Here is a 15,794-nt window from a genome sequence, read left to right on the forward strand (position 1 = left end):
TTTTTGAAAAGATATACTAATTTCAGGTGGCTAGAAAGATTTATTAACATAAGTAATAAAGGTCTTTTAGTTGTCAAAGTAACTTATACTTAATATTTATTGCAATTTTAAAAAATTAAAATGCTAAAAATTATTTGTGAAAATGAGTTGTTTTATATGTTTACATTTAATAACAATACTTTTTACATAAAGAAAATACAATAATTAAATATATCTGAACTAGTCAAAAGATAATTATAAGATTTAAAATTGAGTTTATGTGCAATAAATGTGGTAAACAATAATGTGATATAAAATCTTCTAAATTTAATAATATTCTTGGTAGAGGATTCTGGGGCAAAAATATGATTTTCTCCATATCCCTGCCCACTACCCAATATATGATAACATGTGGCATTATTAAATATGGAAAAATATTAAAGAATGGCAGTAGACTAGAGAGAAGAGAAGGAAAGGCATACAGGAAATCCAGGTCCCTGCCCTCAGAGACCTCTCAATTCCTGGCATATGTTTATGTTTTGAACATTATGCAAATTTGTCTGCATGACAAATTTATTCTTGTTTCAGGTTAAGAGTAGAAATCAACCCATAGTCCTTACGATTAGAATTGCCTTAGCATAACGATTCAATCAGTAAGAAAATATAATAGACTAGAGGGTAATGGAGATTTTAAAATTTATATTATCTTAATATATTTATTAGAAAAAATATTAGATTGCTCAATAAATCAATGGTAACTTTAAGGCTTTTACTGTCTACTACAAAGAATTTTTATAGATATATGAAGAATGATGGTAAGGAAGAGATATGATGCCATGAGGCCTACTGTGAGCAAGACACTGCTAATCAGGCTATTAGGTTGGTCCAAAAGTAATTACAGTTTTTGTCTTTGAAAGTAATGTCAAAAACTGTGATTACTTTTGCACCAACCTAATACTTCCGCACTTTGGAAAGGCTTTGCCTACATCATTTTGGTTATTGTGAGAAGACTTGCACACATAAGGAATTTTTCAAAATAATATTTTAACTTGAAATACTTTTCTTTGACAAATACAGTAAAAGTGATAGAGCCAAAAAGAGGACTAGGCATAGCCCTGAGGGGATTTCCGAGCAAAAAAATCCCAGGGGATTTGTATGCAAACACTTCGCTCAATAAAAGGAGAGGCCAGGTGTGGTGGCTCACAACTGTAATCCCAGCACTGTGGGAGGCCGAGGTGGCTGGATTGCTTGAGCCCAGGAGTTTAGGACGAGCATGGGCAACATGACAAAAACTTATCTCTACCAAAAAAAAAAAAGAAAAAATAGCGGACATGGTGGGGTACACCTATAGTCCAGCCACTTAGAGAGGCTGATGTGGGAGAAACGCTTCAACTCGGGAGTTTGAGACCCGCCTGGGCAGTTTAGTGAAACCTCATCACTACAGATAATAATAATAATAATTATCTGGGTGTGGTGACACACGCCTATAGTTTCAGCTACTCTGGAGGCTGAGGTGGGCGGATAGATTGAACCCAGGATATCTAGGCTGCAGTGATCTGTGATCATGCCACTGCACTCCAGCCTGGGTGACAGAGACCCTCTCTTAACAAAATAAAAAATACAAAAAGGAGAAAGTCATCAAACAAAATGATGTGACTTAGTCTGGTAATATTCGTCAAGAAGTCAAGATTTATGCTCTCTTACAATTCTGACTTTCACATTGAATTAAATTAAGGGTGTCTTGGCTTGTTTAGTGTAGTTTAGTAAAATACAGTCATTTGTTTTCCACAGCTATTATATTATTCTCCATTAAAAAAAGAAGAAGAAGAAGAAATGAGAAAAAAAAATCAGTCCCTAGCTAGAAATTTTAAGAGTCAATAACATTTGGGAAATGAAAATATATTCTGAAGTAGTATAATCATACCCAAATTTTTAGACTCTGTACTCAATCTATAAGATGTATGTGAGCAAAATATTATTAGAAGCAACATGAATGATAATCACGCACTACAAGCGCACGAATAATGTTTCCCTGAAAGGTACAATAAAAAATTATTCAATGTGAAACAAAACGTTGACTGCAACAATTATTAAAATTTGACTATTGAATTGTCAGTATACTCAATTATGAAGACATTTGGAAAATATAAATGAGCACTACTGTTTTTGCTCATTTTTTAAAAATGAAAATTTTTGGTAATGTCTGACCTGAAGGCAGATATTCATTATAATAGTCAAATATCATAAATACATTTCAAATGTTATGTATTCTACATAAATTACTCAGGAGAGGAACATGTAGGCTCATAAACTTGCACACAAGTAAAGGAATGTTTCTTAGGAAAAAATTCTGTGTTAAAGATATTCCACACCAATGTCTCAGGAAAAGGCATTTGTAGTATACTGCTCCATTACCTATGCTTCATAAAAAATGCAGCTATCTAATTTAATTTAGCTCTGAACAGATTTCTTAGCAGCATAATTTATGTTTTGAGAATATCTCTTAAGAATCATAGCTTGCAATCTATGGTGCTTCAATGAAGAATAATCTGTAAACAAAATCTCCATCTATCAACAAAGGCCATTAAAGACCATAAAATAACCCATCCTTGACTGATTAATGCTGCTACTGAAAGGGATTTCAGGCTATTAACATCCAGAAAATATACTGCCACTGTGGTTGCATTTATTATAAATCACATAGTTATATGTACTGGTGTAAAGCAATGTTTTCTTAACCACCTCCCTCTCCCAAATTAATTTAATAACAAAGATACTTTGAAGAACACTAAATATCTATAGAAAGTAAATGATTCTATTTTTTTCCCTAGAGGAAATGTATGTGAAGGCAGGGCTATTTATAATACATTAGATAGCTAAATATTGGTTTAACACTTTATATGCAGTTCAATTATGTTCATATATTTATGTCATTAAAATAGTTTCTCTAATGTAAAATAAAACATTAAATTCATTTGTATTTCTTGATACTTTTATTAACAATACTGATGGTTTTTCATGGGTAAAATAGCCATCAAAAATTGTTAGTTGTTACCTTTAGGTTCATCCTATTCTGTCAATTTGATTGTCACTAACTCTTCCTCTTAGGGGATGTGAATATAGCTGTTGAGCTCATACTCTTGGAAGGTAAAGAGGCTTTGTTTACTGGTGCAGATCTCGATTTTTTCAAATATAGTATTTCACCTCAGAAATACTATCTATTAGCTCTTATGCCTTACAAAACTACTGGCTTGGATTTGTCCAATGGTTTTAACCCTTGATCTTACCTTTAACATGCTTGGAATCTCACAAATATTTTCTTATATTGTTTAGTACAAGGCACTGTCTAAATAGTTTAGCCACATTATCTCATTCCATTTACACCAATCCCATGAGATAGGTACGTTTTAACCATTTTATAACATAAGCAAAACTCAATTTCAAGAGGTTAACTAATATTTCCAAGATCACATAGCTAGTTTATGGCAGAGGAGGATTCAAACACAGGACTGTGTTGATTCAAAAATCTATAGAGTTAAATGTGTACTTGTCCTTCCGTAATATCTGAGGCTAGACAAAACAATCCCTGGCTTTTCTCTCCTGCTTTCTATGAATATTCTGTCTTAGACTACTTAGTCATTATATATTTTTGTCTTTTCAGTAGAGTTCTGTTTTGCTGTGCTAGTTCTTTTGGGTTTCTATAATAATAAAAATAATAATAAAAGGAGAATAGAAGAATAAGAGTAGATCAGGGAGAAGATATTCTGAAGATAAGTTGGTTTAAAGAGAATGAGTTAATGGATCAGCTTTTGTCTCTGAAGTCAACAAATGACAAAGAAATGAAAAAGGTGTACCCTGGAACAATGCATCTATCTGCTGGTAGTACTTGAGAAATACATACAAAATTCATATTTTTATTTTCTTTTGTTTCATTTTATTGCTTATTTTGGTCAGTGTTATTTGCTTCTTATACTAGTAACATTCCTCCAGCACAGAACAACATATCTTTGCAAATATTTCATTAAATATATAAATGTCTTAAATACCACAAATGAAAGACATGAGTAACACAATATAGTCCACAAAACTCAAAAGGAAATAAACACAGTTTAGCATTTTTTTCTTACAATTGAAAAGATTTTAATAACTGTTGAGTATTTATAATTATCTATGCTAACTCCCATTTTCTTGCCAAGTTATGTGTCTTTAAACACTATGGAGTCCCCTTGCAAAATTTAACAGAGAAGCAAAGATATGTATCAGTAATATTGATGTTTTTATTTTTTTAAAAAAAACCTCCCTGATAATTTAAGTGAATTGGATTAGAATAATTAAAACAGAAATGAAGGACACAGAAGCACATATTCTCAATATCGTCACCTCTGATTACTTTAGAATTCTGTTAGCATGTGCTGTAAAAATCCTTTTTAAAATAAATATTCCCACTATAAGCTTAAGTTTATTCATATCTAGGGAGAATTGTTTTGTTCGGATAATTAGATCAACAGCTGACTCTTTAAGCTGAGATAATGGCCCACTAGCCAATAGGAATCACACATGTTAAGGAGAACAGAATTCAAAGAGTCTGGTCCCTTTTGCACAGTGACAGAACATATGAGGCAGCTACATATCTAGAGAGACAAGAAGATAAATATAAGAGAGCAACCAAATCAAGATGTAATTACTCTGCATTTAATCAAGGCACCTTAGGGTTAGTCCAGACCTTTTATCCAAAACAGCTCTGTAAACAGCCTACTAAACCAGCATCATCAGCTTTCTGTATTTCTCATCTGTCTAAGTCAGTCTTCCTTGTTTCACCATATTCCTACTTGTTTTGTCTTCAACACTTTCTGAGAGAATGAAGAAAAATGACAAAAAACAAATTGTATGATTGTATGAATGATTAATATCTCCTCTTTCATGTTGTTCCTCTTCTATTGTTCAAAGAGTATAGAGTGAATAAATACAAAAACAAACACAACACTGAAGTTAATAAATAATAAGGTCCATCTCATTTGTTAAATTTCGTTTCTTAAGGTATATGTGTCTTTGAACCTTCTGGTTATTTCTACAAAATAGTTCTAGTGGCTTTGGCAGAGTGGTAGCATAACACATCACTTTTTAAACAGAGTTGAATAATTGTATAACCCTAAAAGTAAAAGAGGCAAACAATAAAATGAAATGAACAAATGAAATAAAATCAGAAATTCTCAGCTTAACAAAACCACCTTTCTTGTGAGCACATTTTGTGCATAGTGAAATAAGGGACATATCTCTAAAGCTCTGTACACATATATTTATTAAAATAAATTGAATTAACAATTGGCACTACACAGAGTGGCATGAAAAGGTTCAGTATCTTAACCTCAGCTATTCACTAAGATAAAAGGATCACCAACATAAAATCTTTTTTCTTTGCATTGTTAAACTTAAATAAGTGTTTTTTCTCTAAATAAAATGATTAATTTTTAATTATGTAGATAAATTTTGGATCTAGGTGGACTGGAGGCATAAATGACACTTACTTAGAGATATAACCAGCAAAGTCAAGATGGCAACTTTACAGAAAAACATAATCTAAAAGTTTGAAAAACAAACTGCAGAATATATTGTGTGTGGCTCTTTTTATATTCTAAACTATGTTATAAAAATTTTGCCTCGACTTACTTATATAAGAAAAATAAAACTGGTTGCAGAAATATAATTTAGTATTATGTCTTGTGTGACCTAACAATTGGGTAACAATTATACTAAAATGGGACATAATTTATTAATTTACACAGTATAAAACCTATTGGAATAGACTTTGTAAGTTCCAAGTAAGTTTCTTATCGTACCTGGTCAGATTTACTTTGCAATGTCCATCTTAATATTTATGTTTTTAATATTTTTAAAATAAATTTTAAGGCAATAGCATGAATAGATGAATACATAAGATAATAAATGAAACTCTAGCTCTTTATAACTTAAAAGAGGGTAGGATAAAGAGGCATGGCATAATTTTACATTTTAACTTCAGTAGATGACAATATTTGGGAAAACTAAGGAAATATGGAAGGTTAGACAAAAATACCGATTCAGGGCTAGAAACAATATTTATATTTTACAATGCCCATTTTAGGGAAACACGGCATTGCTATGTTTTTAAAGCACGCTTTAGAGAGTGAAAGAGTTCACTTTAGAAAGTACAATTTAGAAGGACTTCACTTTCTAAAGTATGCCTTAGAAACACAGCAATGCTATGTTTTTCTAAAATGAAGAGAAAGAAACTTTATCACTCTCAAACAGCAAGGCTTAAAATTTGTAGAGAATGTGAATGAGGAAAAGAAAGACAATTGTTCAGGAAGTTCAATAAATCATATTTGCTGAGTCATTGAGTTATTAAATTCAGCAAATATGATTCACTTTGTGGCATAAGTAACAGGGAAACATGTTCCATCACAATTTCAAGATGAAATATAAAAAGCTTCAGTCTCTCTTTTGTCTCTCTCTCACACACACATACACACACACACACACACACTCACACACATACACATATGCACAAGGTAATTGAGGCTAGGGAGGTGAAAGAAATGTAGAGTAGGGTCTCTGACAAATGTGGTGAAGGGTCTCTGTGTACATAATGATTTTTTGAACAATCTGAAGACAATTAAGCAAATTCAGAATAATTTTAACATTTCAGCAGATTAACTGGTATTAAAAGGGGAAAAGATTGGCAGAAGCTTTATTCTAATCATGCACCAGAACAACAACAACAACAAAAACACACACAAAAAATCAAAGTGGCAAATGGTTTCATTGATTATTGTGAACTATCCGGCACCCACGAGAAAACAATAATCCAAATTTGTTAGCTCCTCAACCTTGGATGAGTTTTCATGAGTATTTTATAAATTAGTGCTATAATGGCAGGAGACAACGAACTCCCAGACCACTTCCAAATTTAAAATTATATAGTTTTCCATTGAATAGTTTATTATTTTCTTAATAAAGATAACTGTTTCTTAATAAAACTAATGCTATATAAAGACAAAGTGGATAAAAAATCATTAGCAAGAGAATTAGTAAACAATGCATAGCAACATACATGCATATGAGCATATATATACACCCATATATGCATATACACTAGACCTATATGCACATAATTGTAATTATATATTAGTATAACAATAAAAATCCTAAAATATCTCAAATGTGGAAATAAAAATGCTGAGCCAACACTAGCCTAGAGGGCTGAGAGGCCAGAAGAGATTTTGAGTTTCACCATCTGTTGGATCATTCAAGCATTTCACAACTTCCTGCCAGTATCAAATCTCCGCTATTTTATTTGTTCCAAGAAATTTTAAAACAAATGAGAGAGGTAAAAGCAGTTGAAAATGCTGAAAGTTTTGTTCACTTTAAGGGGTTATTGTTGAGGCAATATTGCTCATTAAAGGAATTTTAATGGCTTAAAAATTAAAGCTTTTCAAAGTCAAGTACTTTATCCCTTTGGAAGTTTTAGCAATTTAAACTTGAATAATTTTCATGACCAAAGTAACTGCAAAACTATAATTTTATATTACAATTGTATTTGTACCATCTGACCTAATTATTAAATGTTTAAACATAATAAACACTAATGAAGTGCTCTGTCACTACAAATAAGCTTCTGGTCAGGGTGCTATTGTCATTCTACTTTCTTCTTGTAGTTTTGTTACTTTTCTCGTGCTTGTCCACAGAAATTCCCACCAAGAGTCAAAGTTCCACTTGCATACTCCTGTGTGTGGAACAAGGGTTTGGGATCAAAGAGTCTGCCTTTTCATTCTGGGCTCTGCTACTTATTACCTCTTCCTTGAATCTATATTTTTAATCTAGAGTTTCTAATAGTTGTGATGAGGATCAGATGAGATATAAGGCAGAATTGCATTTGTCAAATGGCTAATATATGATATGTATAAGATATGCTAAGTACTCAGTAAATGGTAATTGTTTTTGCTATTTCTGATTTGGGCTTGGATTTTAATTTATTTTTTATTGAATGTTGGATAGGTATTTACCCATTCACACAATGTTGTCTAAATGTTCATCATACTTTCTAAAGTTAAGGGATAAAGTACGCTGAAAGGTAGCTATTACCTAAAATAATAACTATACCTCAGGCGAGATAATACATATTATGAATTGAGAATAAACACGCATTAAATAAGTGGTAAAGCGATACAAATTGAGTTTATACAGTAGAAAATAGAAGGGGGTTATTTCTATTGGCAGCCATAAGGCTAGAGTATGTTGGGCATAATTCTTCTTTACCAGATACAATGTTTTGTATAGAAGTATACTCAGTAGATTTTTTAATTCTGTGTTTCTGGAACTAAACAGAAATGTGTGGAAATTGTAGAATTGGGCAAGAAATGGAATTAGAAGATTCAAGAGTTAATCCAACGGATGTGCATAGATTGAAGAAATAAGTCCAAGAAAATAATAAATGGATTAGAATTTTGCAATCTCTAGTACTCATAGTTTTTTAAAAGCAATATTAATCAATGAAATACATATATGTGCATCCATTCTATGCCAAGAACATCACAGTTACCTTGGTACTTGAGACACGGAGACAAATAAGACACTGTCTATCTCTATAAAAACATCATAGACTTTCATTCTAGTGAGAGAGAAAAACACACATAAACTAGGAATGACAAAATAAGACACATACAAATAACAACGTGTGAAGCATTTCATATTTACAAAATAAACATAAAATACTGTTCATTTTCTGAAAAACTTTCTCCATTTATCTTGAAATATGTAGTATTTCTGTCAAATTTTATAATCTATTATTAGGTATAGAAACATAAATACAGAGATAAGTTTTTCAATAATAAAAATATTCCCAGTGGAAAATGGCGATGGATACTTAGTCTTAATGTCAGTGGCATCACAGGGATTGGTACAGACACTGGTGAACTAAAAATATCACACGGTTTAAAGGCAGTGGACTATACTTGGAAATTGTTGCTGTAGACAACAGCAGGCTCAGCATTACCAAATTATCTCATTTTTTTGAGTAGAAATAAATTTTGATATTTTAATGTGCAAAGCCTTTAAAAATGTGTTCAATTCAAAAAAGTGGCTAAGAAAAAAATTAAAAATAAAGTTTAAAAAACCCTCAAAACTATATCTGTGGGTGGAATCAACATTCAGGTTTCTGCTGTTTGATCCTGAACTCAAGGACTTATAAAAGGGAGGCATGAAGAAGAGCTCTGCAAAAACTATAGAAAATTGGAAGATACAGAAAGAACACTGAAGAAAAAGCTACTGTCCTTAGATTTTCTATGGAAAATTAGGTCAGGTATAAAGAACATATTCCTAATCAGATGAGGAACTTTTAAATCAGTGAAATCATAGAACTGCTTCTTTGGAGGCCTTAATTTTTCATCTGTTTGGGGTTATTTAAATGAAGCCATTGCAAGTGTGTCCTATTTTTTCAAAGTATATTTTGTGGACTCCCCAACTGTAATCACAGGATGTGCTTGTTAAAATGCAGATTCCCAGACACCTTTCCAGATACAGAATCAAATATTTTTGGTTGGGTACAGAATTCTGATTTTTTTAAAAAATTAACTCTAGTTAACTTTGATACAAAGTACATGTTGAGAATTATACCACTGGACTCACAGCCACCAAAGACACTTGTTTAGTTGGCGACTTTGAGACCCAGTCAGACTTATGAGTACCTCGGAACTGGAACCCAAGAGACGTATTTATAACAAGTTTAACTAGGTGACATTAATGTGTCTTCAGCTACATGGAGGCTATATTTTATTGCATTATATATTCTTCCTTCTTGTTACTAATTTCTTTGGATGCCCGCTTTTACAATAAAATTAATAATTTAGAAGCTTATAACTTCTTTGTAAAATGGCATTTCTAGCCCAAATACTTGTTTAAATTCAGCATAAAAAAGAAAACCTAGTTCATAAGTGATATGTCATTAAGGATCACTGTTGTTTATCATGAATTTCATTGTATCTTTAAAAACATGACGTTTTTATTTTTATTTTTTAATTTTTATTTATTTATTTTTTTAAGTAGAGACTGGATTTCACCATGTTGGCCAGCCTGTCTCGAACTCCTGACCTCAGATGATCCACCAGCCTTGGCCTCCCAAATGCTGGGATTACAGGCATGAGCCACTGCACCTGGCCTAAAAATATGACTATTTGGTAAACATCACCAGGGTCCTAAGAATATTGTGTAGATTATTTCCAGTGGGATGGTAGCCATTGAGCAACCAACTGATCAAATTTTAAGATCTTGTAAGATCTTGTAAGATGTAAAATGTAGCACTTTCGTAATTACCTAACTTATTTGTGAATCTGCTTTTGAATAATAGTAAAATTGTGTTTTCAAAGCCATCTTACTCAGAAGTAAATTATGTTAATATACAATAAAGAGAACATACACTTTTACTATATGTATATGGAAAATTACTATATCATAAGGTCTTCTATACAGCTAAAATTTTTGTGACCTGGGTACCTGGACTTCAATTGAGTGAGAAAATGAAACTAAGAAAGTTACAGCATTGATGAATAGCATAGTATATACTATATTAACAGTCATTACTATATATTAAAAAGTAGCTTAAAAGAAAAGAAAAGGCCAGGCACGGTGGCTCATGCCTGTAATTCGAGGTGGGAGGATCACAAGGTCAGGAGTTCAAGACCAACCTGGCCAAGATGGTGAAACCCCAACTCTAAAAATACAAAAAAAAAAAAAAAAAAAAATTAGTCAGGCATAGTGGCGGGCACCTATAATCTCAGCTACTTGGGAGGCTGAGGCAGAGAATTTCTTGAACCCGGGAGGCAGAGATCGCACTGAGCTGAGATCGCCACTGCAGTCCATCCTGGGAGACAGAGTGAGACTCCATTTCAAAAAAAAAAAAAAAGAAGAAGAGTAAGAGTAAGAATAGGAGAAAGAGGAGGATATAGAATGGAATAAGAGTCACAGAATGAGAGTATTCAGCCCAACTGTAACTTTGTTTTCAAGATATATTAGAAGCCTGGGGAATTCTTCTATAAATTCTACTTCCCATTTAGCATGTTCTAAAGTTCTTCTGTCATGTCAGTATAATATGAGAAGAGGTAATGTATTTTGATACCTCCTGTTTTCTATAGACAAAGTATGTAGATTAAGTACATGAGTATTTGAGGTTCAAATGCACCTATTAAAATGACAGTATAAGTATCTATTTAACTGGAGCAATAAACATACATATCTTTCCTAAAGTGATACTTAGGTTATTACAAATGCCCTATTAGGTTTAGTTATCTTCCTCATTTAAAACACTTTCCACATACAGATAGTAGTAGACTACTAACCTTATGCTGGAACATACATTATGATGTAAAACCGGGGAAATATTTCAGGTAAACTCATTCTCAGCAGTGGTACATGATTATGAAGCTGTGTTTTATCAACATGATTGCTGTGAGCACCAAATAAGAACATGCAAGTAGCTTGGTTAGCATAATGTATAGCACAGAGTAAGAATATAACAAATGTGAGTTACTAGGATTGTAAAGATTATCATTATTATTGTTTGAATAGTAATCTCTGTATGTAAATAGACATACATATTCTACTAACAGATTTGTGTTATCTACTTGAGTGTGTGTATATATGCGTGTGTGGCTATGTGGGCACCAGTGGAGCAATAATGAGTTTGCTACATGTTATATATTTCTAGAATCACTAATTATGTTGAAATATTATTACAAAAGTATGTGCCTTAACAAACTAATAAATACTTTGGTGTCTAAATAAGCTCACCATAGAGCAAAATATATGAAGACACACAGAGATAGCTATATATAGAGACAACGGCAGCATGTTATTCCATATGGAAAAAAAAATTTGTATCTGCAGATAAAATGGCACTCCAGGAGGATATCAAAGCATCAAATGGATGTTTTCATTAAAAGAAAATTTGTACATGAATTTTTAAAATTTCAGTTCATGATGTTACTCATTAGCTCTATTTTTAACAAAATGTTCCCTTTTGCATAGAGAAAGGAAAGTCAAACACTGATCTTCAATATTAATAGTTAAGAACCTGAAAACATCTTACATTTTATTTTATAGGTTTAATCTAACTTAAAAAAAATGTTAAATAAAAGACAATGAAATTGAAGACCCCTCCTGGAGAAACTAGTGAGGATACTAATATAGACTCTACCTCCTCAAAAACCTAACTTCAAAGAGATTTTAAAGAAGTCATCAATTCTCTCACATGGCAGACTGGGATAACATCTGTTAATAGAGACTTAAAAAAAGTAAGTAATTTAAGGAAGAAGGGTTGATAATTCATTGATTGGGATAAGAGAGGAAATGGCAAGAGAAACAGGTATGGTTTCATAATGACATTGAGATAAGTCTCAAAGGCTGAAGGAAGAATTTAATATAATTATTACATCTAGTGATACTGATGAGAAACACATCCTTTCTCCCTCAGTTTTCTTTTTGTGCGTAATCTTGTAACAGATTGTTCATGTTTTCAGTAAATACTGGGAGTGAGGAATGGTGGAATGCAGAGATGTTAAGCAGAGGGATTTGGTCCCACCAAAGGTACTCTAAATTAAATAAGATGTGCTCACTTTGCAAAAGTGACTTCAAGATAAGTGCCTAGCTTCCACCATTACTGCTATACTCCACTTCTAACAAAATTATCATCTTTAATTTTCTAGACTGCCGCACTAGAACCATCATAGTGTGGACCAAATTTACACTATTTTTCTACTTCCTATTTCTATTCTTCTAAAGTTCTTAATCTGTGTTCTAAATCTGGGACTGGGCTTCTAAGAGTAGGTTCACTGATTGTGTTATCCAAGACAGGGGTTGGCAAATTATAGCTCACCGGACAAATCCAACCCACACCTGATTTTTGTAAGGCTGAAAGGGTAAGAATGGTTTTGACATTTTTAAACAGTTGGGGAAAAAATCAAAAAAACAGATATTTCTTAACATGGGAAAATTATATAAAATTTAAATGTCCACAATCTTGTTCCCCTTTTAAAGATATATTGTTGATTATTTTAACACTACAACAACCAGAGTTAAATCGTTGCAGCAGAGATGACGCGGCCCACAAAAGCCCTAAAGATTTACTTTGTTCTTTACAGAAAAAGTTTGCTGACCCCCAACTCAATAACTTATTTTATATAAACATAAATTTTTCAGGAAAATAATACTGTGAACCCATAATATGATTGTAGCATAATGGGAAAATTAGGCAAAGATTGATAAAATACCAATCTTATTATTATACAGTCACATATCATATAGGAAAAATCTGATACAATGGATTTAATATATCAGATGGGAATTTGAGATAAAAAAGATTCTAATATTTCTAGTCTTATAAATGAAACTGAGCCTAAATGAAGCTTTCAGGGGAAATGATCATGTAAGACAAATTACAGGGGTTGGTTTCTAAAACCGATTCTTTTTACTCTTTACTGAAGGTCAAGGATACTGAATGTGCCAGTGCACCTTCAGAAAGCAGCCTGCATCAGCACATTTAAACCACTGAATGGTCTCACCACCTAGTTTCTTGCGAAAGCTGAGCAATACATTTTGTGATAGATACCACTGAGAAAGTTAGGCAGAAATTGTTATTAGTAGTATATGACAATCATAATAGTCTAACTTTTACTGTAAAACTCTATTATTTATATGTTTTCTGTACATCCTGTAGGATTGTCTGTATTTTGCAATAGAATTGCAATGTGTAAGAGAAAAAGAGGCAGTCTATGTTTCCATTGTCATTCTAAGGGACATATTATCCATACAACACCTCCTTTTTCCCCTTTACTGAAAAGCTGTGTATAAAACACTCTACCATGCTTTCCTGAAACATAAAAGAAGATTTATTACTATTTTAATAAAGAAGTAAGAACAAAAATATCCAATCTCCTAATATTCAATGGAGAAGAATATATATTCTTTTTTAGGAGGACACAAAAATAGCAAGCTTAAGTATATTCTGTTCCCTAAGGTACTGTGTAGGTGGAGAAAATTATTTTTCATTTAAAATTATATACTTGTAGTTCATTTTAAGTAAGCCCAGTGGACATAAAGCTGATTCATTCACAAATGCAAAATTTTGTTGTAATTATTTGCTTAACCAAAGCAATATTCATCAAAAATGGATTAATGCTAGGATTATTTTATTTCAAGTAAATGAACATATATTGATTAGTGACCTTCCAAACCCCATGCTAGCAACAGTAATTACTATTATTAATAAAATACATCCTCTAGTGCATATTAAATGGTTCAATTTATTAAATATGCTGATCTCTGCATACCTCCTCAAGATTATTTTTTAAGAAAAGTTTACTTTGCCTGAGAAAGAAAAGATGAAATATGCAAACACTAAGTTTACTAAAACCACCAAATACAAGCTGCCTTGGAGTCCCGTTGTTCTGAATTGTCTTACCCTCTTAAAATCAGATGTTTTAAGCAGATAACTCAATTTTTCATACAATATAAAATGTCCAAAATCCGTGTAATTCTCTGCCTCTGAATACATAGTCTCTATCTATTTTTCTCATTGTTTTAATCTAAAAGGAACATTATGTTTTCTCTTTTTAAAAGTACCCTCCTTCAGCATTGTTTTTACTTCTAAACTCCTTAGATTTTCTCCTCAAATCCCATTTTTCTCCGCACAATCTCATCCTCCTTTAGCTAGAATCACTCACTGGTGATTAAACAGAGTCACGCAGAAAATAATGAATGCAAAAATGTGGGCAGGAAGAAAGAGAAGGGAAGAAATATTCTTCAGGAAAGAAAATGAAACGGTATTTGTCAGCGATGTTGTAAAGGGGAAGAAACATTAGAGAAAGGGTGATTGGTTGATAGTGTCAAACGCTGTAAAGAAAGGAAAGAAGAGGTATTTTTTAAATTAGCAAAGTGGAGAATCATTTTTAAACTTTGAGTTAGAGTTATTACTGAGGAATGAGAATTTAAGTTTCCTTTGTGGTTTTCTGTGCTTACTAAATCACCAGCTCTTCTTATAAGGTGAGTGATATATAGTAAGAATGAGAGTCTGTGGGGAAGGCTGGTGAACATACTTTGATGAAAAAATGGACTGTAAAGGAGTACCATCCCTGTCATAGGAAGAGATATTTTAGTGTCTGAATCTGTGAGGGGGTGTGTGGAGGTCAATGTTGATGCTCTATGTATCTACCGGAGGAAATTTATGTGTGTGTGTGTGTTTATCTATTGTAAGGGGAAGCCGTGAGATATCAGACTTCCCTGGCTTTTCCTATCTCTGATAAGAAACACTGTAGTTCTAGGGAAGCTGAGCGCTGGAAAGGACCTTGACTTTGATAAATACAATAATTGGTGACAAGATTTAAATTTTGTTTTCCATGAGTTCTGGTGATAGGGCATTCTGGCTTGTTTTATGTCATTTGTCCTAATCCTCTTAACCTCTTAACCTATTCTACAAACCACTTTAAATATTTCTTCTCATTATTCCAAACCCTTGCTGTCAAACATCATTGTAACCTGTGTGTATATATATATATAATATATATAATATATAATATATATAATTATATATAATATATATAATATATATTATATAATTATATATATACTATATAATATATATTATATATAATATATATTATATAATATATATTTTCTATATATTATATATAATATATATTATATAATTATATATATATTATATATAATTATATTATATATATATTTTTCCCACTACAGTGGGAAAAACCATTAATCCAGTGGCTATTTCC

At 32.1% G+C, this 15,794-nt stretch overlaps 1 protein-coding gene, 1 long non-coding RNA gene and 1 other non-coding gene across 22 annotated transcripts in view; 1 reads left to right on the forward strand and 2 right to left on the reverse strand.

Moving 5' to 3' along the window:
* The window catches only part of PCDH15 (protocadherin related 15), a 1,825,172-nt gene that overhangs the window by 804,252 nt on the left and 1,005,126 nt on the right, over nt 1–15,794 (reverse strand). The gene's annotated exons all lie outside the window — the stretch shown is intronic.
* Nucleotides 1–15,794, forward strand: part of LOC105378311 (uncharacterized) — a 169,822-nt gene that overhangs the window by 120,793 nt on the left and 33,235 nt on the right. The window contains exon 4 of the long non-coding RNA NR_134503.1: nt 12,112–12,302. This is a non-coding gene — a long non-coding RNA (uncharacterized LOC105378311). The remainder of the gene's footprint in view (nt 1–12,111; nt 12,303–15,794) is intronic.
* MIR548F1 (microRNA 548f-1) lies at nt 852–935 on the reverse strand. The gene has a single exon (NR_031642.1). It is a non-coding gene; the product is annotated as a microRNA 548f-1 (primary transcript).

This window comes from Homo sapiens, chromosome 10 (genome assembly GCF_000001405.40).
Source record: "Homo sapiens chromosome 10, GRCh38.p14 Primary Assembly".
Taxonomy (NCBI): Eukaryota; Metazoa; Chordata; class Mammalia; order Primates; family Hominidae; genus Homo; species Homo sapiens.